Source organism: Homo sapiens, chromosome 3 (assembly GCF_000001405.40).
Source record: "Homo sapiens chromosome 3, GRCh38.p14 Primary Assembly".
In the NCBI taxonomy this organism is placed as follows: Eukaryota; Metazoa; Chordata; class Mammalia; order Primates; family Hominidae; genus Homo; species Homo sapiens.
Window position 1 is genome coordinate 160,545,069 of NC_000003.12, and position 22,292 is coordinate 160,567,360.

Genomic DNA, 22,292 nt, shown 5'->3' on the forward strand with positions numbered 1-22,292 from the left:
CACTGCATCACATTACTTTTTCATTCTAGGTCTACTTCTATTACATATTCCTTCAAATAAGCTATTTTTCCTTCTCTTTTTCTCTTCAGTGTTTACTTTCAAAATATTCTTTTTCTTTGTGAACTTATGTCAAAGACATTAAACTTAGCAACAGAAAAATCTTCATTGAAAGGTAAATTACTGAATTACTTTGCCAAAGCACTATTTTAAAAGCCCTCTAGTTATGTTCACATACTAAACAGATGTATGCATGTGCATAGGAAACCATTCACCCAACACATGTTTACTGACCACAAGTGTTCTGAGTGTTAAGGAGAAAACAGAACAAAATGACAAAATCTCTGTCTTCATGGCATTTATTGCATTTTAGTGTGAAAGACTGTAAATAAAGTTAAAATGTATAGTGTTTCAGTGGTATTAGACAGAAAAATATAAAGCCAGGAAGGACATTTTTAAATAAAGACCTTGAGAAGAGTGATCAAGCCAGGTGGATAGCTGACATGCAATGAACAAAGAGGGGTAGGAAATGGAGGCTAGCCACTGCACAGATTTTGGCATTTACTCGAAGTGCGCTAGGAAGCCACTGGGGGATGAGCAAAGGAGAGAGGAGAGACATGTTCTGATTTAAAAGAGAATTACTCCAGCTGCTGTGTTGGGAATATACCACAAGTGCAGTAATCCCAGCAACAGATAATATCTTGGACCAGAGTGGTCGCAGTGGGGATCATAAAACATAATGAGTCTGAATATATTTTGAAGACAGAACCTGCAAAATTTGCTAACAGACTGGATAGAACTGTCAAGGAGAGGAAACAATGATTTTACGGTTTTTGATCCAAACAACTGAAGGATGGAACTGCCATTTACTGAGATGGGGCAGACTGACTGATCAGCAAGTTTTGGGGGGTAATATCACTTTTAGATCTAAGTTTAAGGTACTGATAATGCATCGAATGAGATGTCAAGTAGTCTGTTGAATCTTGAGTTCAAGAAAGAGGCTGAGACTAAAAATATCAATTTGGAAAGTTGTCAGTGTCCAAATATTTAAAACCAGATCACCAGATGAGATTATCTGCAAAATGAGCATAACCTGAGGCACCACAAAATAAGGGGTACAAGACTAAGAGAGAAATCAGTGAGATAGAAGGCAGTCAAGAATCTGTGCAAGGCCAGGCATGGCAGCTCACACCTGTAATTCCAGTACTTTGGGAGGCTAAGGCGGGTGGATCACTTGAGGTCAGGAGTTCAAGACCAGCCTGGGCAACATGGCGAAACCCTGACTCTACTATAAACACAAAAATTAGCTAGGTGTGGAGGTGTATGCCTGTAGTCCCAGCTACTTGGGAGGCAGAGGGAGGAGAATCGCTTGAACCCAGGCGGCCGAGGTTGCAGTGAGCCGAGATCGCAACACTGCACTCCAGCCTGGGTGATAGAGCAAGACTCCATCTCAGAAAAAAAGAAGAATCTGTGAGAATATGGAACCAAGTGAAAATATTATTTTTTAAGGAACCACAATCAACTACATCCAGTGTTGGGGATATGTCAAATAAGATGAGGATTACTAAACGTACATTTACTTTATAAACTAATATGGTTAATCACCAACCTTTGTTTGGATAAACAAAGGTTCCGATATCGCTCCCCACCCCTCATCTACTGAATTCTGGTCTGTTTCTGCTACCATTATTCCCATCCCTGCACACTATTTAATATGCTTAAAATACCACTCAAGACTTAGAGCTTCTAACCCACGTCTCATTTATTGTGGTATAGTACTGAACTGAATAAGTTACAAAACTAAAACTGAGCCCTGGTATCTACAAAACATTAAATTTTCTCAAAATGGAAATGAAACTCACTCTCCGGCCCTTCTTTGGTCTCTTAAGCCACACTGCAAAGCGATTCCCATTTCTGGTGATGTTTCCAGGGTGAGCTTTTGACTAAATCTGTGTAAACTGACCATAATGGTTCCCTTCAACTAACTAGTCAGTGGAGTATGTAGGCGACATGTGCAATCCCAAATTAACCAATTCTATAAGATGAATTTAAAAAGTCCAACTATGAAATGTCAAATATACAAACAAATTTCATGACATCCAATGTATTAATGTTATCTTGTCATATTTGCCTTTTTTTGAAGAAATAAAAATCTTAAAGTGTTATGAATACTGCTAAAATCTCCCTTTATTCACAATCCTCTCCTCCCCTTATTTTTCTCTGCCAAATGCAACCATTTTCCTAATTAATTGCCTGATTAGATTCTCATGGGTGTTTTGGTGTTTCTACTGCATATCACCAATTTTATATATTTAGGATTTTTACAGGAATGACACCATGCCACACAAAAGACTACTTTTCAAGCAGTTTTAGGTTTACAGGAAAACAGTAAAAAGTACAGACAGTTCCCATATATTCCCTGCCCCCACACAGGCAAATCCTCCCCCTACATCAACATCCTGTTACCAGAATGGTACATTTGTTACAACTGATGAGCCTACATGTACTATCACCCACAGTCCATAATTTACATTAGGGTTCATTCTTGGTGTCGCATACTCTACAGGTTTTAACAAATGTATAATGATATGCATCCATTAGTATCAAACAGTATTTTATCACTGCCCTAAAATCCTCTGTGCTCTCCTTATTCATCTCCCTCACCCTCAACCCCTGGCAACTACTGATCTTTTTACTGTCTCTATAGTTTTGCCTTTTAAAGAATGTCATATAGTTGGAAGTATAGAGTATACAGTCTTTCAGATTGTCTTGTTTCTTTTAGCAATATGCATTTAAGATTCTCCATGTCTTTTCATGGCTTAACAGCTCATTTCTTCTTAGCACTGACTAATATGCCATTGTCTGGATATATCACAATTTATCCATTTACCTACTGAAGGACACCTTAGTTGCTTCCAAGTTTTGGCAATTATGAATAAAGCTGCTCTGTGTGGACATAAGTTTTGAACTCATTTGGTTAATTACCAAGGCGTGCTATTGTTGGGTCATATGGTAAGAGTATGTTCAGTTTTGTACTGCCTCTCAAAGTGATTGTACCATTTTGCCTTCCCAACCAACAATGAATCAGAGTTCCTGTTGCTCCACATCCTCACCGGCATGTGGTGTTGTTAGTGCTCTGGGTTTTTTTTTGTTGTTGTTGGTGGTGGTGGTAATATATACATAACAATAAAATTTACTATCTTAACCACTTTAAAATTTAGAAAATTTCAGAAAAACTGTAGTAAAAAACACATAACATAAGCTTTACCACTTTAACTATTTTAAAGTGAGTTCGGCAGCATTAAGAATGTTCATATTGTTGTGCATCAAATCTCCCAAAACTATCCTGGTCTTGCAAAAACGAAACACTACATCCATTAAACAACTCCCTATCTCCTTCCCTCTATCCCCTGGCAACCATTATTCCTTTTCCTGTTTCTATGCATTTGCCTATTCTAGGTACCTTGTATAAGTGGAATTATACAGTATTTTTTTGTGTGTGACTGGCATATTTCGCTTGGCATAATGCTTATGGTTCATCCATGTTGTAATATGTCAGAATTTCCTTCCTTTTTAAGTCTAAATAATATTCCACTGTATGTACATACACATTTTATCTATCTATTTTATACATTAAATAACCTTTTGCTTCCACTTTTGGATACTGCAAATGCTGCTACTATAAACTAGAGTGTACAAGTATCTTAGTTCCCGCTTTCAATTCATCTGGATATATACTCAGAAGTGGAATTGCTGGGTCATATAATAATTCTATTTTTCACTTTTTGGGAACCACCATCCTGTTTTTCATAGTAGCTTCACCATTTTACATTCTCACCAATAATGCACAAGATTCTGAATTCTCCACATCTTCACCAACAGTTATTTTGTTTTTGTTGTTTTGATAGTAGTCATCTTAATGGGTGGGAGATGGTATAGTTGCTTTGATCTGCATTTCCCTAATGATTACTGATGTTGAGCATCTTTTCATGTGCTTACTGGCTATTTTGTTTATCCTCCTTAGAGAAATATCTTTTCAAGCCTTTTGCGCATTTTAAAATAGGGTTGTTGGTTTTTGCTATTGTTGAGTTTTAGGAGTTCTTTATATATTCTGGATACTAATCCTTTATCAGATACATCATTTGCAAATATTTTCTCACATTCTGCAGGTTGTCTTTTCACTCGATTGTTTCCTTGGCTGCACATCAACTTTTCAGTTTGATGTTGTTCCACTTGTCTATTTTTGCTTTTATAGCTTTGCTTTTAAGTGTCTTATCCAAGAAATCAGTGCCAAGACCAAAGTTATAAAACTTTCTCTATTTTCTTCTAGTTTACCAGTTTCAGATCTTATGTTTAAGTCTTTTATCCATTTTGAGTTGATTTTTGTATATAGTACAAGGGTCCAATTTCAGTCTTTTGCATGGTGGATATCAAGTTTTCCCAGCACCGTTTGTTAAAGGACTATCCTTTCTCCAATGTGTAGTCTTGGTATCTCTGTCAAAGATTATTTGCCCGAATATGCAGGGGTTCATTTCTGGGCTCTCTATTCTGTTCCACTGTTTATGTCTTTATGCCAGTACACCATACTGATTTGACTACAGTAGCTTTGTAATATGTCTTTCAGTCTGGAAGCATGAGGTCTCCAGGCTTGTTCTTTCTCAAGATTGTTTTGGATATTCAGAGTCCTTGTGGTACCTTATGAAGACTGCTTTTCCATTTCTGTAAAAAATGCTGCCATGATTTTGATAGGGCTTGCAATGGAATATTTAGACTGCTTTGAGTATCATGGACATTTTAACAATATTAAGTTTTCCATGAACATTGGATTGTTTTCCATTTGTGTTTCTTTCTTTCAGCAATGTTTTGCATATAAGCCTTTCTTTTATTTGGTTAGGTTTATTCCTAAGTATTTTTTCTGACACTATTGGAAATGAGATTTTCTTAATTCCCTTTTCAGATTGTTCACTGTTAGTGTATAGAAACAGCTGTTTTTTTGTATGTTGACTTTGTATCCTGCAACTTTGCTAAATTTATTAGTTCTAATCATTTTTGTGGAATCTTTAGGGTGATTGTGTCATCTGTGAACAGAGATAATTTTACATCTTTGTTATAGATTTGGATGTCTTTCATTTCTTTTTCTTGCCCAACTGCTCTAGCTAGGGCTTCTAGTACTATGTTGAAGAGAAATGCCAAGGGTGAGCATCCTTGTTTGTTTTGTTTTGAAAGAGTCTTATTCTGTTGCCCAGGCTGCAGTGCAGTGGCAGTCACTTCAGTCTCAAAATCCTGGGCTCAAGCAATCTTCCCCCCTCAGCCTTCCAAGTAGCTGGGACTCCATGTGCATGCCTGCATGCCTGGATAGTTTTTATTTTATTTTTTCTTTGTAGAGACAGGGTCTTGCTATATTGCCTAGGCTGCTCTCGAACTCCTGGGCTCAAGTGATTCTCCCACTGAGGCCTCCTTCCAAAGCACTGGACTTATATGCATGAGCCAGCACACACCGCCACTGCCTTATTTCTGATCTTACAGGAAAAGCTTTCAGTTTTTCATCACTGAATATGTTGTTTGCTGTGGGCTTTTCATATATGGCCCTTATTATGTTGAGATAATTTTCTTCTATTCCTAGTTTGAGTGTTTTTATCATGAAAGGGCACTGAATTTTGTCAAAGTCTGGTACTGAACTTTTCCTCCATCAACTGGTATGACTGTGTCATTTTTGTCCTTCAGTCAGTTAATGTGGTGTATCATACTGATTTTCATATGTTGAACCATCCTTGCACCCCAGGCATAAATTCCACTTGGTCATGGTATGTGATCCTTTTAATGTGCTATTGGATTTGGTGCACCAGTATTCTGTTGAGGATTTTTGCATCCATTTTCCTCAAGGCTACTGGCCTGTAGTTTTCTTTTCTTATAATGTCTTTTTCTGGTTTTAGTATCAGAGTAGGGCTGGCCTTGAGTTTGGAACTCTTCCATCTTTTGAAAGAGTCTGAGCAGGACTGGCATCAATTCTTTAAATGTTTGGTAGAATTCACCAGTGAAGCCAATGATCCTGGGCTTTTCTTTGTTGGGAGATTTTAAATCTCCTTACTACTTATAGGTCTAGTCAGATTTACTATTTCTTCATGATTCAGTATTGACAGGTTATGTGTTTTAGGAATTTATCCATTTCATCTAGGTTATCCAAGTTGTTGGCATACAAGCCACACATATCCTTTTGTAATACTCTTTTCTCTACAAAAACATATGAAAAGTAAAAACACTGTCTTACAGAAGAAAATATCAGAATATAGGTACATAAATAACTGCTCTAAGAGTTCAGGAAAGGGAAGATTCATATGAATTGATGTGATTAGTGAAAACTTAACTGAGTTGTGGAGGTTTAAGTTCTATCTGGAAGCACAAATAAGAAACGGCAAGGTAAAGGGGAGACTAGAAGGTGTTTCCAGGAGAGACCCAACAAAAGCAAATACAGAAAAAGCAGAACTGAATGTTAAATGTGAGGTGGGTTCACTTGCCTGAAGTAGAGAGTCAGAGATGAAGTTAGTTGGATGGGGAGTTATCAACTAAAAAGGTAAGAATTAATTTGGACAAGTAATTTCACTTTTATACCTTTACTAGCATTTATGCAGCAAACACTCAAATATCTGTTAAACCAAATTGAGAGCCTGAAATGCCTAGCTAATTAAGAACTTTTCAGTGCCTCTTAGAGATAATAGGAAGCCACTGAAGGTTTCTGGGTTGAGAAGTGAAAACAGCAATGATGTTCTGGGAAGTTTACTGAAGTAACTGTATTCTAATGGTTCTCATCTGGGGTGAGTTTGCCACACAAGGGATATTTGGCAATTTCTGAAGACTGTTCTTGGTTGTCACAACTGGGGGGGGGGGGGTGATGTGCTACTGACATCTAGTAAGTAGAGGCCACAGATGCTGCTAAACATCCTACAGTGTACAGGACACTCCCCCATCCCCCAACAAATTATCTGGCCCAAAACGTCAATAGTGCCAAGGATGAAAACCTTTGCTGTATTCTAATGAGTTACTCTCATGAGAATTCAAATTAAGTTCAAATATGTTTGGAAAAATGTACACATGAAAAAGGAAACAATCCAAAAGACTAACAGTAGTGAGAATATGGAAGATTATTTTTATTTTTCCAAAAAGTGTTTTTACAATGATCATGCATTACTTCTATCAAGAGAAAAAATTGACTTAAAAATTCTGACTTCATCACTACGCAATCTATACATGTAACAAAACTGCACTTGTATTCCATAAATTTATATAATACACAAGATAACCTTAAAAATAAAAATTCTAATTTAGTTACTAATTCTAATCAGAGTACCCTCCTGTTTTCTTAAAAAAAAAATTTCATTTAATTCCCTCAAATATTTACTTAAATGCTGACTACATACCAGGCTCTGTAATGAGACTTAAGAATATAGTGGTGTACAAAATAGGTAAGTTTCAGGGAGCTTATAGTCTGACGGGAGAAACTAACATTGAGTAAACACACAAATATATCATCAGTGCTCTTAAGGAAAACAGGGGGGTTTAACTTGCAATTAACTTTTTCAGGAATGGCCTCTGTGAGTAAATGACTTTGAAGCGAGATTCAAAGGATGAGAAATAACCATGTAAATGAAGGAAAGAGACGGGGACTGGAGGCGCAGAGAAAGCATTCTCACAGACAGAGCAGCATGTGTGAAGGGGTGAAGAGGAGAACACCACTAATGTGTTAGTGGAATTAAAAGAAGATAAATGAATAAGAGTATAAGTAACTAAGGCAGATAGTAGAGTGAGACGGAGAAGTAGACAAGGACCAAATTTGGTATGGCCTTGAAGTTCTCAGTAAGGAGTATGGAAGCTAAATGTGGTCAGAAGCTAATGAAGCAGGAGAGGTGAGAATTGATTTACTTTATTATTATTATTATTTTTTAAAAAACATGCAGGTTATTTTATGAACTGGAGAAAGGCAATAGCAGAAACAAGGTAACCACTCTGGAGATGAGACAATAATGCTTTGCCCCAGATTATGACAGTGAGTAGAAAGTTAACAGGAAAGTAAGAACGGAGGTGGACATTAACTAACATAATGTCATATTTACCACCTTGTCTAAAAGAAACTGCTCTTTCCGGGGGTGCTCCTGAAGAAGCAGTCAAATGATGTTACACTTCTCATGTGATACCCCTATACTCCTCACACCACAGAAGACTGGTAGTGGGAGTTGGGAAGAAAGCACCTGACTCGGGAAAAGCCAATCCGTAAGCAGGCCAGGAGTAAAAACAATCTGCTTCAGCTTGGGCACAGCTTATTAGCTCAGTCAGATTATCTCTTAGTAATTTAACATAGAATTACGTAAAGACTAAGACAGTCAGTAGCAAGGGAAAATAAAACTTAGCAGCTGACAGCAGCTGGCAGAGCAGAACTTTGCAGATCCATGAACACCTACCATCAAGACAATCCTACCTGACATGTCTTGGATAATATGAGAACTGGTCCCTGAACTTCCCTAACATCCCTACTTGACCTAGTCTGAATAAGGATATGTTCCTTGCATTCTTAAAAGCCTAGTTCAAAACAAGTCCCCACTAGGATAGGATTTTAATTCTACAGATGCAGAAATGGAGGCTGAAAAAAATTATTAAACTTACCTAATGGCAAATAACGAAAGAGATGCAATCCTAGGTGTTCCCACATTAAAAATTAAGCTTTTGCATAAATCTCAAGGAGATATCAGATACAAAACATTTAGGCTTTTCTTCCTCTTCAAACTTAAGGTGTAATACTCATTGTAAATTTGAGTTTAAGAAAGAAACATAAGGAATCTAGCTCAGACTGATTGAATTTACCCACAGAGCCAGCTTAAGGCTGACTGAGAGATCTTACAGATCTGGACCTATTAGAATGTAAACTTCATAAGAATAGGAACTCAGCCTGCATTATGTAGAACCTCCAATACAGATGCTGAATAAATATTTGCTTAACAAATGAATTCAATACAGGGAAGGGTAGAAGGGAAAGTCAGTGAAAAAGAGCTGCTTAGAGTTCAACTGTGACCCCCAAATACTGGAAAGTTGTCACAACTCCCACTCATCTCTTACGTTTTCTATTGTTGTTTTTAATATTAATGTAACAGCTTTGAGATATAATTTACATACCATATAGTTCACCCATTTAAAGTATACAATTCAGTTATTTTAGTACATTCACAAAGTTGTGCATTGAACACCACTATCTAACTCCAGATGACTTTCAACATCACAAAAATCAGCCCCATACCCACTAGCAATCATTCCCCCTTTTCCCTCTGTCCCAACCCCTGGCAACCACTAATTTATTTTCTGTCTCTATGGACTTGCCTATCCTGGACATTTCATATTGTGATACTGTGAAATATTTGGTCTTCATCCCATTTCCAGACATACAACTTCTAAAATCCTTAAAATCTATGCAGTGATGAGTGTCTTTTGAAGGCTAATGAGATGACTGGTGACTCGGGGGGGCCCTAGATAGTTTCAGGATGAGGGCTGATCACTGGAAAGACCAAGACATGACTAGAGAATTGGCACTTTCAGCCCCACCCTCCAACCTCTGGGGAGGGAAAAGGGGCTGAAGGTTAAGCTGATCACCAATTGTTAATGATTTAATCAATCATGCCTACATTATGAAGTTTCCATAAAAACTCAAAATGGGTTCTGAGAGCTTCTGGATAGCAGAACACATGCTGGTGCCTAGACAGCATGGAAACTCAGTGCCCCTTCCCGCATACCACATCTGGCTGTTCATCTGTATCCTTTGTAATATAGTTTATTTTAAAAAATCAGCAAACATAAGGAGAGTGCTTCCCTGAGTTCTGTGAGCCATTCCAGCAAGCTAATTGAACCCAAGGAGCAGGTAGTGCGAACTCTATGTATAGCCAGTCAGTCAGAGGCAGAAGACATAACCTGTGCTTGTGATTCCATCTGAAGTGGGGGACACTCCCATGGGACTGAGCTCTCAACCTGAAATCTGATGTTATCTCCAGGTAGACAGTGTCAGAATTAAATTGAATCAGTGGATACCCAGCAGGCGTCCGTTGCAGAACTGACTGCTTAGCTGGTGTGTGGGGAAAAACCCCCACACATCTGGTGTCAGAAGTATTGTGTTGAGTGACTGTATGAAAGGACAGTGTAGGAAAAAGAGTTTTTAGTTTTATTTATTTATTTACTATATCCTCTCAAATATAACTGGAATTATAGAGTGTGATCTTTTGTGACTAACTTCTTTCAGGCAGTATAATGTTTTCAAGGTTCATCCATACCGTTGCATGTGTCAGTACAATAGTCACCCCCTTATCTGCACAGGGTGTGTTCCAAGACCCCCAGTAGATGCCTGAAGCTGCAGATAGTACTGAACTCTACATGTAGTATGTTTTTTTCTATGCCTACATATCTATGATAAAACTTACTTTATCAATTAGGCACAGTAAGAGATTAATAATAATAAAATGGAACAATTATAACAATATATTGTAAGAAAAGTCATGTGAATGTGGGATCTCTTTCTCTCTAAATATTAATATCTTGTTGTATCACATATTCACCTAGTTTCTGATCACAGTTGACTGCAGGTAACTAAAACTGCAGATAAGGGTGAACTATTATACTTCATTTTATAGCGGAACAATACTCCATTGTATGCATATACCATACTTTGTGCATTCATCAGTTAATGGGTATTTGGGTTGTTTCCTTCTTTTATTTTATTTATTTAAATTATTTATATTTATTTATTATTTTTGAGAAGGAGTTTTGCTTTTGTTGCCCAGGCTGGAGTGTAATGGCCCGATCTCAGCTCACTGCAACCTCCACCTCCTGGGTTCAAGTGATTCTCCTGCCTCAGCCTCCCAGGTAGCTGGGATCACAGGCATGCGCCACCATGCCTGGCTAATTTTGTATTTTTAGTAGAGACGGGGTTTCTCCATGTTGGTAGTGCTGGTTTCCCAACTCCCAACCTCAGGTGATCCGGCCCGCCTTGGCCTCCCAAAGTGCTTGGGATTACAGGCGTGAGCCACTGCGCCCAGCCAAGTTGTTTCCCTCTTTTGGCTGTTATGGATAATGCTGCTATGAACACTCATTTACAAGTTTTTGTGCAGACATTATGTTTGCAATTCTCCTGGATTTATATCTAATTAGTAGAACTGCTGGGTCACATGTTAACTGTTTAACTTTTTGAGGAACTGCCAAACTGCATTCCAAAGCAGCCGTACCATTTTACATTCCCATCAGGCATGTATGAGGGTTCCACTTTCTCCACATCCTCACCAACACCTGTTATTTTCTTTTTATATACTGCCATCCTAGTGGGTGTAAAGTGGTATCTCATCATGCTTTAGAGCTGTGTTTCCCTAATGACTAATGAGGCGGATCCTATTTTTTATTTGTTTATTGGTCTTAATTAAACTTTTCATCATTGAGTATCCCTTATGTGAAATGCTTGGGAACACAAGTGTTTCAGATTTTGGATTTTTTTGGATTTTAGAATGTTTGCATAATACTTAGAGACTGAGCATCCCTAATCCAAAATCTGGTATGCTCCAATGAGTGTTTCCTTTAAGCATCACGTAGGTGCTTAAAGTTTCAGATTTTGGAGCATTGTGGATTTCAGATTTTTGGATTTGGACGCTCAACCTGTACTGTCATTGTTTTAAAGCTGGAGAATAAAAAGGGAATTGGGAAAAATTATTCACAACATTAAGAGAAAAAACGTGAACAAATTTAAGGTGTCTGAAACAGCTGATCAACAATGAACCCAATTCTATAGATATATCTGTAGTAAAATGAACATCTCCACATAATATTCAAAAGTGAAATAAGGAACCAAACCTACCCTAAATAGGTAGGACTATAGGTGTGTGCCACCACACCCAGCTAAATTTTTTATTTTTTGTAGAGATGAGGTCTCACTATACTGCCTAGGATGGTCTCAAACTCCCGGCCTCAAGGAACCAAATCCTCTGCACTATTTTAAAAAGAGCTGGAGAATATTTGGGTTTCACACCTACTAAAGAACAAGGAGTGATGTTAACAATTATTTGAAAACCTTAAGGTATTATCTTGCTTGTTTTTCTGGACCAGTAACAGCTTAAAGTGGCTAAAAAGCCAGTGTGAAGAGGAAGAACAGGTGGCAAACAGGACAGGGCCATTTAATACAACCAAGCAGAGACCACTTAACATAGGTCTTTCGGGATAAAACTACTCAACTAAATAAATTTATGTAACACTTACCTCAAGGGTCCAGAAAGACATACTTTAAAAAACATAAAGAGTAGATATGTGCAAACTAAAGTTTTTATTAAAGAACAGGACACTGAGATAGACTATGATTTACCTTCTAATATTAGACAATATGTCCATCACTGAACTAGTAAAAAACATACTATCTTAGGATTCCGACTTTTGTTAGTAAAAAAATTCATGAAATTCCATGTTTGTCAAAATACATCATTAGTTAAAATCTAATTTACATTAAGTTTAAAGTAAATAAAAATTTAGGGAAAAAATGACAGGTGACTAAATTTTGTCCGAATAGTAAATAAACAGTAATAGAAAATAAGTCAGCATTTAAAAATTTCTATCTATCTGAGATGAGACCTCATTCTTGTCACCCAGGCTGGAGTGCAGTGGCATGGTCATAGTTCATTGCAGCCTCCACTTTCTGGGCTCAAGCGATCCTCCTGCCTCAGCCTCCTAAATAGGTATGACTACAGGTGTGTGCCACCACATCCAGCTAAATTTTTTATTTTTATTTTTTTGTAGAGACAAGGTCTCACCATATTGCCTAGGATGGTCTCAAACTCCCAGTATCAAGCAATCCTCCTGCCTCAGCCTCTCAAAGCAATAGGATTACAGGCATGAGCCACTGTGCCTGGGAAAGTTTAGCATCTTTAATAATCAACTTAATCTTGTATTACCAACAAATATCTATGACCTTAAATCATTTTCATTCTGGGTACTAAATAGTGTGAATTATAGTTGTTTTCTGATTATATTTACAATGTTTTGAGAAAACAGTGACAAAATCTACATAAAGCATTTAGTAACCCACTTAAAACATAGGATTAAAGAAATGAAGTCATAAACTAGTATGTATGTGACAATTTGGCTGAAGTATGTGGGAGAAAGTAGGTTTTCAGGTGACTGTTAAATAAGGGGAATAAGAAGCCTTCCCAAATTTGTATGATGTGGTTTGGATTATGGCACACAGAGGTACAAGAGGAATTTTGTAAGCAAAATGTTATTCTGATATGGAACATAGGGGTTTACTTGGATGCAATGTATGACTATGTAAGTTGGCAGAAATAGTAAGAGGTTCCATTTACTCTGCATGTACTTTATGCTAGGCATTGTTAAACATTTCAAAGGCTTAGACATAATTAAGTTAGCCTCCATAATTACTAAGTGGAGAAACCAGAGTTCAAACCCAGACCTAAGTGACTCTACAGTCCATGTCTTTTAACCCCTATACTATAAGGTCCTTTAAGAGCCTGTATTAATTAAAAGTGACACTCATGTGCAAAAGAAGCAATGGTAAACTAAAAGAGTGGCACTCAAAGCATGGTCCACGGGCCCCTATGTGGGTCCTGAGACCTTTACAGAGAGTACACAGGGTCAAAACTATTTTCCTAATGATAATACTAATACTTTTTTTAAAAAAAAAATTGTATTAACACTTGAATTGATGCCATAGGGGTAAGACTGCTGGTGCTTTAGAATGAATTAAGGTAATGACATCAAGATGCAATAGTTGTCACTGATTTCACATCTAAAATTTGTTTAAAAGTCAGCTCACTTAAGAATTCCTTGAGGAAACAGTAAAAAATGATTACTTTTATTAAATATTGGCCTTTTCTAATTGTGTGAAAAAAATGAAGATTACATATAAGCCACTTCTGCTGCATACCAACTTCTACTTAAGGACGACTGTCTCAAGGAAAAAGTACTTGTGCAACTGAGTTGTGAACTGACCTAGCCACTTTTTTCATGGAACACTATTTTTACTTGAAAAAACGACTGACAGACAAATTATGGTTATTCAGACTTAATGGTTGGAAGATGTTTTCACAAAAATGAGCAAAGTGAGTCTATGGCTTCAACGATAACCATTTATAGCATTTATTGCTAATGATAAAATTTCAGCTTCCTCTGAACTTGTCCCAGAGGCATGGTAAAAAAAGAAAAAAAAATTGAGCTTCCCAGAGAAAGTTAGAATTTTAGAAAACTTGTATCCACTTCTGTGAACCTGACAGATTCTCAATACTTAAGATTTTTCTGAATTGTGTGGTTAACAATCATGAATTTTTTATTGAATAAAATATGTTAGCATTTGGAAGACGTGCATAACTCAGTGACATAATGTTTTCCAAATAATCCAATGCATGGTATTACAAAAAGCATCAGTAAAAGATGGGTAAATGTTACATCTGAAGTGCAAGACAGACCAATAGATTTTAATGTAACAGTGTAAGAAAAGTTCACTCATGTGGCTTCAGATTCTACATTGCAACTATCTTTAAGAAACTACCTCTTGCAGAATTACGGTGTAGTATCACTTAATCTCCATAATTATCCTGAAAAGCCTATGAAAACATAACATACTTTCCTTTTTCAACTGTCTGTCTGTGTGAAGGTGGACATTCTTCACACACTTCGACCAAAACAGTGTATCACAAAAGACTGAATGCAGAAACAGATGAGAATTCAGCTGTCTTAAGCCAAACATTAAGACCCGAAAAAAAGGTTCAACATGGCCATTCTTCTCATTATGTATTTTTGGTTTTGAAAAATGTCCTTATTTTATAGATATCAATATACAGTTCTCATATTAACCACAGAAAAAGGAAGAACTCCAACCCTGTCTTTTACCAAACCTAAATGAAAAGCACAGAAAACAAACTGTGTTTTCTAGTGTTTGAAAGTCTACAAGTGACCCACAATTTCCAAAAACCCTCTGAGAAAAAAAGAAAACATTTACTGAATACCTATTATACCCCGTGGACTATGCTCAGTGCTTTCACATAGAACCTTTTCATCAAATTTGAGACTGGCATTAAGGCTGAAAGAAGTCAAATGGAGGAAATATGGTAAAGTACAAAAAGAACAGACTCTGACACACCTGAATTAAAATCATTCCCTTAAATGTTATCTTATTAAATCAAAAGCACAAGAGTTTCTTCTTTAAAATTTCTTCTTTAAAATAAATTCAATATGTATAAGATTGAGAGAAATGTGAATACAGTTAAAAGCATATACAGTAGGTGCTCAGAAAGTTCCCTTCAGTCATATTCCTCTTTTCTGTTCCAAAACTAAATCAGCGAGTAAGTACCAAAATCAGAGATCAAGGTTAAATCTGATGACATGCTCTTGTTTCATTCATCATTATAGGCCTCAAATAGATGAATGCTACTCCAGAAAACATTTAAAAATATTTTAAGGACCCACAACCACTATCAGGTATTAGAAATCAATGTTTAAAAACTACCTTTGCATTTTTTTTTCTAAAGTAGCTTCATTCTTTGAAATCTAAATCACTCCTACAATTCTTCCCAATCTTGTACATTCATTTGACATACTTAGTGACTACGAAAAATAAGGGCATCTTGGTATCTCCAGGAAAACTATCAATGAAGCAATTCTCAAACTGGCTACCTTGTAAACCAGGAAAGTTGGCAAGAAGTACAGAAACAGTCATTTAATTCCTAACTATATTTCTATCAGATATTTCATATTGTCACATGCTTGGACTATTATGTGAAAAATTAGACAGTAGTTATTTTAAGTATAGTAAATATGTTCCAAGATTTGTGGTGAGAGAGATCAGTCTCTAAAAGTTAACAAGACTTAATACCTTAACAATGCTTTTCACTCTGTACACTTTAACAAATCACTGAGGCTCTTTCAAAACAACAAAACAGCTGATCAATTTATTAAACTCTTGCCAACCAAGCACCTTTTTTTAAAGTTCAAGCTGACTTCATATTTTATGTTTGTGTGGATAATCACAAGTTTCTAATTATGTAGCATTTTAATATTCTTTTATATTTAGGGTAAGTTGTTTTCTTAAAGTTGTGTTTTTAAAAGATCTAGTTATATTTTATGCTCTATTTGAACCTAGACACTCAGAACTTTCATAAAAAGTATGCAGGTTTATTAGGAAATCTACAAGAAAATTCCCCTCTACTTTAAAAAACATAAATTATATGAGCTTAATTTACTTTATCCTGACAAGTTTTTTATTTCAAGTTTGGTCACTACCCATTTCCTGTGTTGCACTGTATATACCCTCTTTTCTATGGTTACTATTCTCAAACTAAGACTGGGGATCTTCTACAACACTGTAAGAAGCAGCCACGCCATGGTGAATATCATCTGATAGTTCCTGATAATTATTTTAAATGGATACTGAACATATGCCTTCTTTGGTGCGTTTGTGTTTCAAGAAACTTAACATGACCACATTTTAGAGGAGTCAGAATGGTAGAGAGAGGTAGGAACAAATATCAGATTGAAATCTATGAATAACTTTCAACTCTAACACTCAGAAATTACAACTTTAAAAGGATCACTAATTTGGTGTGCCTAAACTGCCCTTCAATGAGCAGCTACATGTCTCTGTATTAAAACCTTTCCCTATTACTTGTTCAATGTAACAAGTTATACAAGCAGAGAGAAAAAACAGCCACTGAAAATAAGGGAGTAAGAGAATCAATTATACTGAATCTTGTTAAATCCCTTCCCTCCCCCAAAAAGAAAAGCTGAAGGTGATAAAACGCTCAGAGAATTGCCAGGCATCTTCCTAACATTACCTATTAATCTTCACAACACTCATGAAGCAGATGTCAAGTACCTCTAGTTTTACAGATGAAAGAACCATAAGACTAAGCGATTTTCCCCAAGGTCATACACAAAGTTAGAGATCAAATTAAACTAAACTCTAGGACTCTGTATTCTTCATCATTTCTAATCAAATAAACTGTTAGATCATAATATGCTACAATTACCTCTCCCTAAATGCTATACTCTGTACATGGGCTGTTCCAATAAGGTAGCCACTAACCACATGTGGCTATTAAGCACTTGAAATGCAGCTAGTCCAAGTGGAGGTATGCCATAACCGTAAAATACAAACTGGATTTTGAACGTATGAAAGGAATAATATGAAACGTCTCAATTATTTTACACAAATTAGATGTTGCATGGTATTTTGGATATACTGGATTAAGTTAAATTCACTGGTCCATACTTCTTTCTGAAGACTTCCCATGAAATAGATGTCATCATAAGATCCAAATCAAAAAGCAATTATTTTCTCAGAATTTGCTGTATTCTACAGACATTATGTAACACAATGTAGTAACCATATCTAAAGGGTGATTAAGTGTTTAGAGAGATACAGCATATATGTAAGTAGGCTGATAAGTGCTTAGAGAGATAGACCAGATATGTAAGTAACAAATACACAAAGTAGACCACTGTACTGTTCTCTAAATATAAAAAAGAATGTTTCTATCTCATTACAAGCATATGTGATTTTGAGTAAGTCACAGTGTGGACAAAGTATGACTTTCTATTAGAATCATATGTTATTTCCTTAGGTGGAAGTGAAAATATTCCTACCCCTAATGTATGCACAAGGATATCAAAGTCATCAGAGGACAACCATAAGGCACTATGAATTTCTAAACAAAACAAAACAAAAAAACCTGGCTAATGTCAATATATACTTATTTTTTAAAAGTCACACATCACAATATTCTTCTAATACAGCCTCAGGACTTAATCTGATTTTGACTAAAGTGCCAAAAGATATGAGGTAGGAGGAAACATCAATTTAAAAAATAAGGATAACTTCAGAAAGTCTGGCAATTCCACCAAAGGTTCAAAGTAAGTTTCCATATGATCTAGCAATTCTATTCCTAGGTATATAGCCAAGAGAAATAAAACATACATCCACACAAAAATGTTCTTAGTAGTATTATGTAAAATAGCTAAAAAAGTGGAAACAATGAAAATGTTCATTAACTGAAGAAGGGATAAATAAAATGTGGTATATCCATGAGCTGGAGGATCATTGGATCATTCGGCCATAAGGATCATTCGGCCATGAAACATTGATACATTCTTGTTACAACACGGATAAACCTTGAAAACATTACACTATGTGAAAGAAGCCAGTTAAAAAAGAGCACAAATTGTACAATTCCATTTATATGGGATGTCCAGGATAGGCAAATCTAAGAAGACAAAAACTGGTTGCCTGGGGCTGGGGTAGTTGGGAATTGGAGAGTGACTGTTAATGAGTACAGGTTTCTTTTTGGGGCCGTGAAAATGTTCTAAGATGGACTGTGGTGATGGTTGCAAAACTGCGAATACACTAAAAGCCACTTTAAGTGGGTGAATTGTATGGCATGCGAATTACATCTCAATGAAGCTGCCAGAAAAATGAAGCCAGAAATGTAGAGGAAAAAAGGGTTATAGGGATCTGTCAAGCACCTAATTGCTATTTTTCTGGATTCTGTAATTTTGTGGTACTTACCAGTTTTTAAGTTTTATCATTTGTGATTTTTTCTCATTCTAAGTATTCATATTAGTAAAAAACATTTTCACCACATTCTTTCATAAACAAGTAAATTTACTGAAAAATCATTGTTATTTAAGAAGCTCATTTTTATGGCATGCAAATTATCTCAATAAAGATGTGACATCTTTGCATTAAAAAAAGGGATCACAATGGTAATATGTTAACCTTAAAAGAACCACAGAATTAACATCCCTGGACACTTAGTCGTCCCTCAAATTATGAAACCCACTAAAACGCTTGAACTACTTTAAAGATAATATTAACAGCTTTGTAAAAAGCCCAAAAAATATCTCAGTCAAGCAGACTCTCAAGTTCAGAAATGCCATGGGAAGTTGAAGATTTCATTATGAAAACGTACCGAGAACAACATAAAAAATACTGCTTGACCACTTTCCCTAAAAGCTAAACTCGTGATTAAGATGCAGAAGGGAAGTATTAAATCTATTTATCTAAACTCTTAAAAGCTGAAGGGAAGAAGTCTTCTATCAAAAATCTCAGTGGGGTGTGTGGGTATGCGTGTGTGCATGTGTGTATTTAACCCATACACCTTATGTAGACAATCTCGGGAGCAGCTGTATCTAAGACAATGAAGCTTTTTTTTTCCTTTTTAAATAATCAAACGTGATGGTGCCATTCCCTAGCCCACCCCATCCCCCACTACCACCACCAGCAGGTGGAGGGAAAGGATACTGTAGACTAGAGGATGACAGCTTTGTATAACCCTTTAGACTTTATATGTAAGAATGCAGCTGGTGGTCTCCTCTCAGGAGGGGGTAAAGAGATTTGTGGACAAGCTGAAATAAGGGGTATCCTTTGCCTGGAAGAGGGCACACCGTGAGCCACATCTTGAATCAGCTATATCCAGAGTAAAACACAGGCCGCTGGAAGGCACTGTTAGGATCACCAGGATGGCCTCTCACGCCGGGGGTGTTTTTTTCAACGGAGAAGTTGTCCTGTAGTTTGGATATTGGGGGGAGGCAGGGGTAAAGCGGGAGTCGGGAAGACCAGAAAAAATGCCTTTAAGTGGAGACGCCTCGGGCCTCGCTGAGGAAGTTCAGAGCCCCACTCGGTCGCCACACGCTCACCCTCCCATTCCCACCGCCCTCCTTCCCGCGGCGCCAGACGTCGGTGCCCGAGCGAGAGCCGGAATCTCCGCCACTGCCGGGGAAGGGGCCGCGGCCCGGCCGGGGCAGCACCGGCCGCACACGCACGCCTCCTCCGCACGCGCCGCGCCCGGCCTCCCCGCCGCGCGGCCCGGCCCCTCGCACCCGCGCCGGGCCGGCTCCGCCGGGCAGGCCTAGGCCGCGCCGGCCGTACCCGGGCACCTCGCTCCCCGGCGGAGGCGGAGCAGGCCCGACATAAACTTCCCGGCGCGCTAGCAGAGGCGTCACAGACGGGCCGGCCCCTAGCGCCATTCCCCGAGGCCTGGAGGCGGCTCCCGCCCCTAATCCCCACACTCGGGGTCCCGGCGGAGACCGGCCCCAGGCCCACAGCCCCCACCCCTCCGGCGTCGTCCCCGAGTTTACCTCCAAGTCGCGGCCTTTGTTCTTGAAATTCTTGAGCCGTTGGTTGTCCAGTTTCTCGTTGTCCGCCATGGCCGGGCCGGTGACTCCTTCCCCCGCCCGGGCCCCGCGGGATCCGCCCCAACCAACGCGCCGCACCGACACTCCCAGGAACCGGGCCGCCGCCTGAGCTGCTGTGCCCGCCGCGCCGCCGCTTCCTTCCTCCTCTCACCTGCCTCCGCCGCGGCCTTCTCCTCTCCCCGCCCGCCCCCCCGCCCTAACCCCAGCGCGACTGCAGCTCCGGCAAAGACAACTGTGGGGCCGGGCGGCGGCAAGGCGACGGAATGTGCTGCCGGCTGAGAGGGGGAGGCAGCCTCGATCTGAGGGCCCCGGCGCTGCGGCCACGCCCATCGCCTCCAGCCCGGCTCGCCCATTGGCTAACCAGGCTCCGGTGCGTTCGACCAATCAGAAGGGGCGATGGAGAGCCGGGGCGGAAAGAGCGAACGGAAAGGGGAAGCGAACGACGCTGGGAGGAGCCGGCTCCGGGCCCGGAGGGGTGCGGCGGGGGCAGGCGGGGAAGGACCACGTGCCTTCGGAGAGAGGGGTTGGAAGCAATAGAGAAGTAGACTTAAGGGGAAACCAGCAAGGGGAAGGAGAGGCCCGGGAACGCAGCAGGGCGAGTTGTTTTGCTCCACTCGTCCAGGAAGCCCTAGATGCCGGGGGTTCAGGGTCGAGGCTGCGTTAAAGTAACGTTCTTTTCTCCCCGGGCGCGCCCTGTCTTCCTGGGCATTCCTTGCGCTCTCCGTTCGCTTTGCAGAGAGATCTGAGCTTCGCTGTCTCCCGGTCGGACGCTCGCAGCTGCGTTCCCGGGCTGGGGCTCCGTGCCGTCCAGGGCCGGGTCTGGGGGCCAGGACCTGCTGGGATGACGTGAGTTGAGGAGGCTCAGCGGAAAGCGACAGGAAAGGTGGGTGGAAAAGGAAAGGGCCCATTAGACGAATCTGATTCATCTTCTGTGACTAAGCACCCGCAACAGTTAGGAATTTAGGCAGAGCTGGTGATCCTGGGACAATAGCACTTCCTAGGTAATTCGTCTTAAAAAGTTAAAGAAGCTGCTTGACCACAAAGTATGAACTTCTGGAGGGCGGGGCCCGTGGCAGCTGACAGGGAATATTGTGTGTTGAGAAAGGAAATGAGTTCCAAGGATACCAAGGACAACGTTACCAGAGGCAGAAATGACACGAGATACAAAAGAACGTATTCAAAAATTTAACAAAACAGAAATGGAAAATTATTTTAAAATATATTGAAATATCAACGAATAACACCTCAAATGTACAGGGATATGTAAAGCAGCAACTCGGGTCGGAAGCAAGGAATCGAGGCGTTGGGTGTGTTTAAACTTGACGAGGTAGGGAGAAGAGACCCTGATACAAACTCCTTCAGAATCGTTGACTCTCGGTCCTTTCTAGTATATTTTTTTAGTAGAACAACGTGCAGATAAGTGTTTAAAATGCAGATCTTCCTAAGGAAACACTTTTAAAGGCAACAGAGGGGAATTTTTTTTTAAGTTAAAATGGAAGAAGTTAGTGGGTTTAACAGATATGAACAACTGAGTTTCCTTTGGGGGAGAGGCAATGAAAAGAGCCGGAGTACTTTAGGGATCACTTTGGAGAGGATATTGTAGTGGGGGAAAGGAAGGTAAAAACTTAGGAAGCAGAGTAGTACCTTTAAAGTCGTCAGTACTTTATATACCATCAACTGGGCTATGGACAACAGAAGCTGTGCCTGGAAATAACTCACACTGAAGGTTAACTTGAATATAAATTTAGAACAGATCTTAAATACAAATGATGATGTTCATTATAAACTGTTATTCTTCAAAGACTCATTTAACTGAAGTAACATTGTATTTGCATACCAGAGCACTGGTGTTTTTCAAAATGAGTTTAGGATAAGAAAATTCACTTGAAAAGCTGGAGTATGTATGTATTTTGCGCCATCATGGATTTTATCATAAGCAGTGTTCAAGAAAACAAATTACCAGCGAATTCCCACCCTATGAGTAAAAGTTATCTTGTCAACATATCAATAGATGAACATTTTGTACTTCTTGGAATACATTTCATGGTAGCTTTCATGATGAAGTTTATAGACGTGTCTGTTATATGTCT

At 38.9% G+C, this 22,292-nt stretch overlaps 1 protein-coding gene across 1 annotated transcript in view, besides 4 other annotated features; it reads right to left on the bottom strand.

Moving 5' to 3' along the window:
- KPNA4 (karyopherin subunit alpha 4) overlaps nucleotides 1-20,503 on the bottom strand; it is a 70,565-nt gene extending 50,062 nt beyond the window's left edge. Inside the window, exon 1 of the mRNA NM_002268.5 lies at nucleotides 20,146-20,503. Coding sequence (NP_002259.1) covers nucleotides 20,146-20,214 — 69 coding nt within the window. The 5' untranslated portion in view covers nucleotides 20,215-20,503. The remainder of the gene's footprint in view (nucleotides 1-20,145) is intronic.
- Nucleotides 19,759-19,928: a silencer, noted in NCBI's record as "silent region_14856". NCBI's record gives its function as "represses an Ori minimal core promoter by ATAC-STARR-seq in GM12878 lymphoblastoid cells {active_cell/tissue: GM12878}" and the evidence as "EXISTENCE:reporter gene assay evidence [ECO:0000049][PMID:35858748]".
- Nucleotides 19,979-20,548: a silencer, noted in NCBI's record as "silent region_14857". NCBI's record gives its function as "represses an Ori minimal core promoter by ATAC-STARR-seq in GM12878 lymphoblastoid cells {active_cell/tissue: GM12878}" and the evidence as "EXISTENCE:reporter gene assay evidence [ECO:0000049][PMID:35858748]".
- Nucleotides 20,566-21,765: an enhancer, noted in NCBI's record as "P300/CBP strongly-dependent group 1 enhancer chr3:160283422-160284621 (GRCh37/hg19 assembly coordinates)". NCBI's record gives its function as "activates an origin of replication core promoter dependent on BRD2, BRD4, P300/CBP, MED14 and CDK7 cofactors, with strong dependence on P300/CBP, by STARR-seq in HCT116 cells {active_cell/tissue: HCT116}" and the evidence as "EXISTENCE:reporter gene assay evidence [ECO:0000049][PMID:35650434]".
- Nucleotides 21,239-21,308: an enhancer, noted in NCBI's record as "active region_20759". NCBI's record gives its function as "activates an Ori minimal core promoter by ATAC-STARR-seq in GM12878 lymphoblastoid cells {active_cell/tissue: GM12878}" and the evidence as "EXISTENCE:reporter gene assay evidence [ECO:0000049][PMID:35858748]".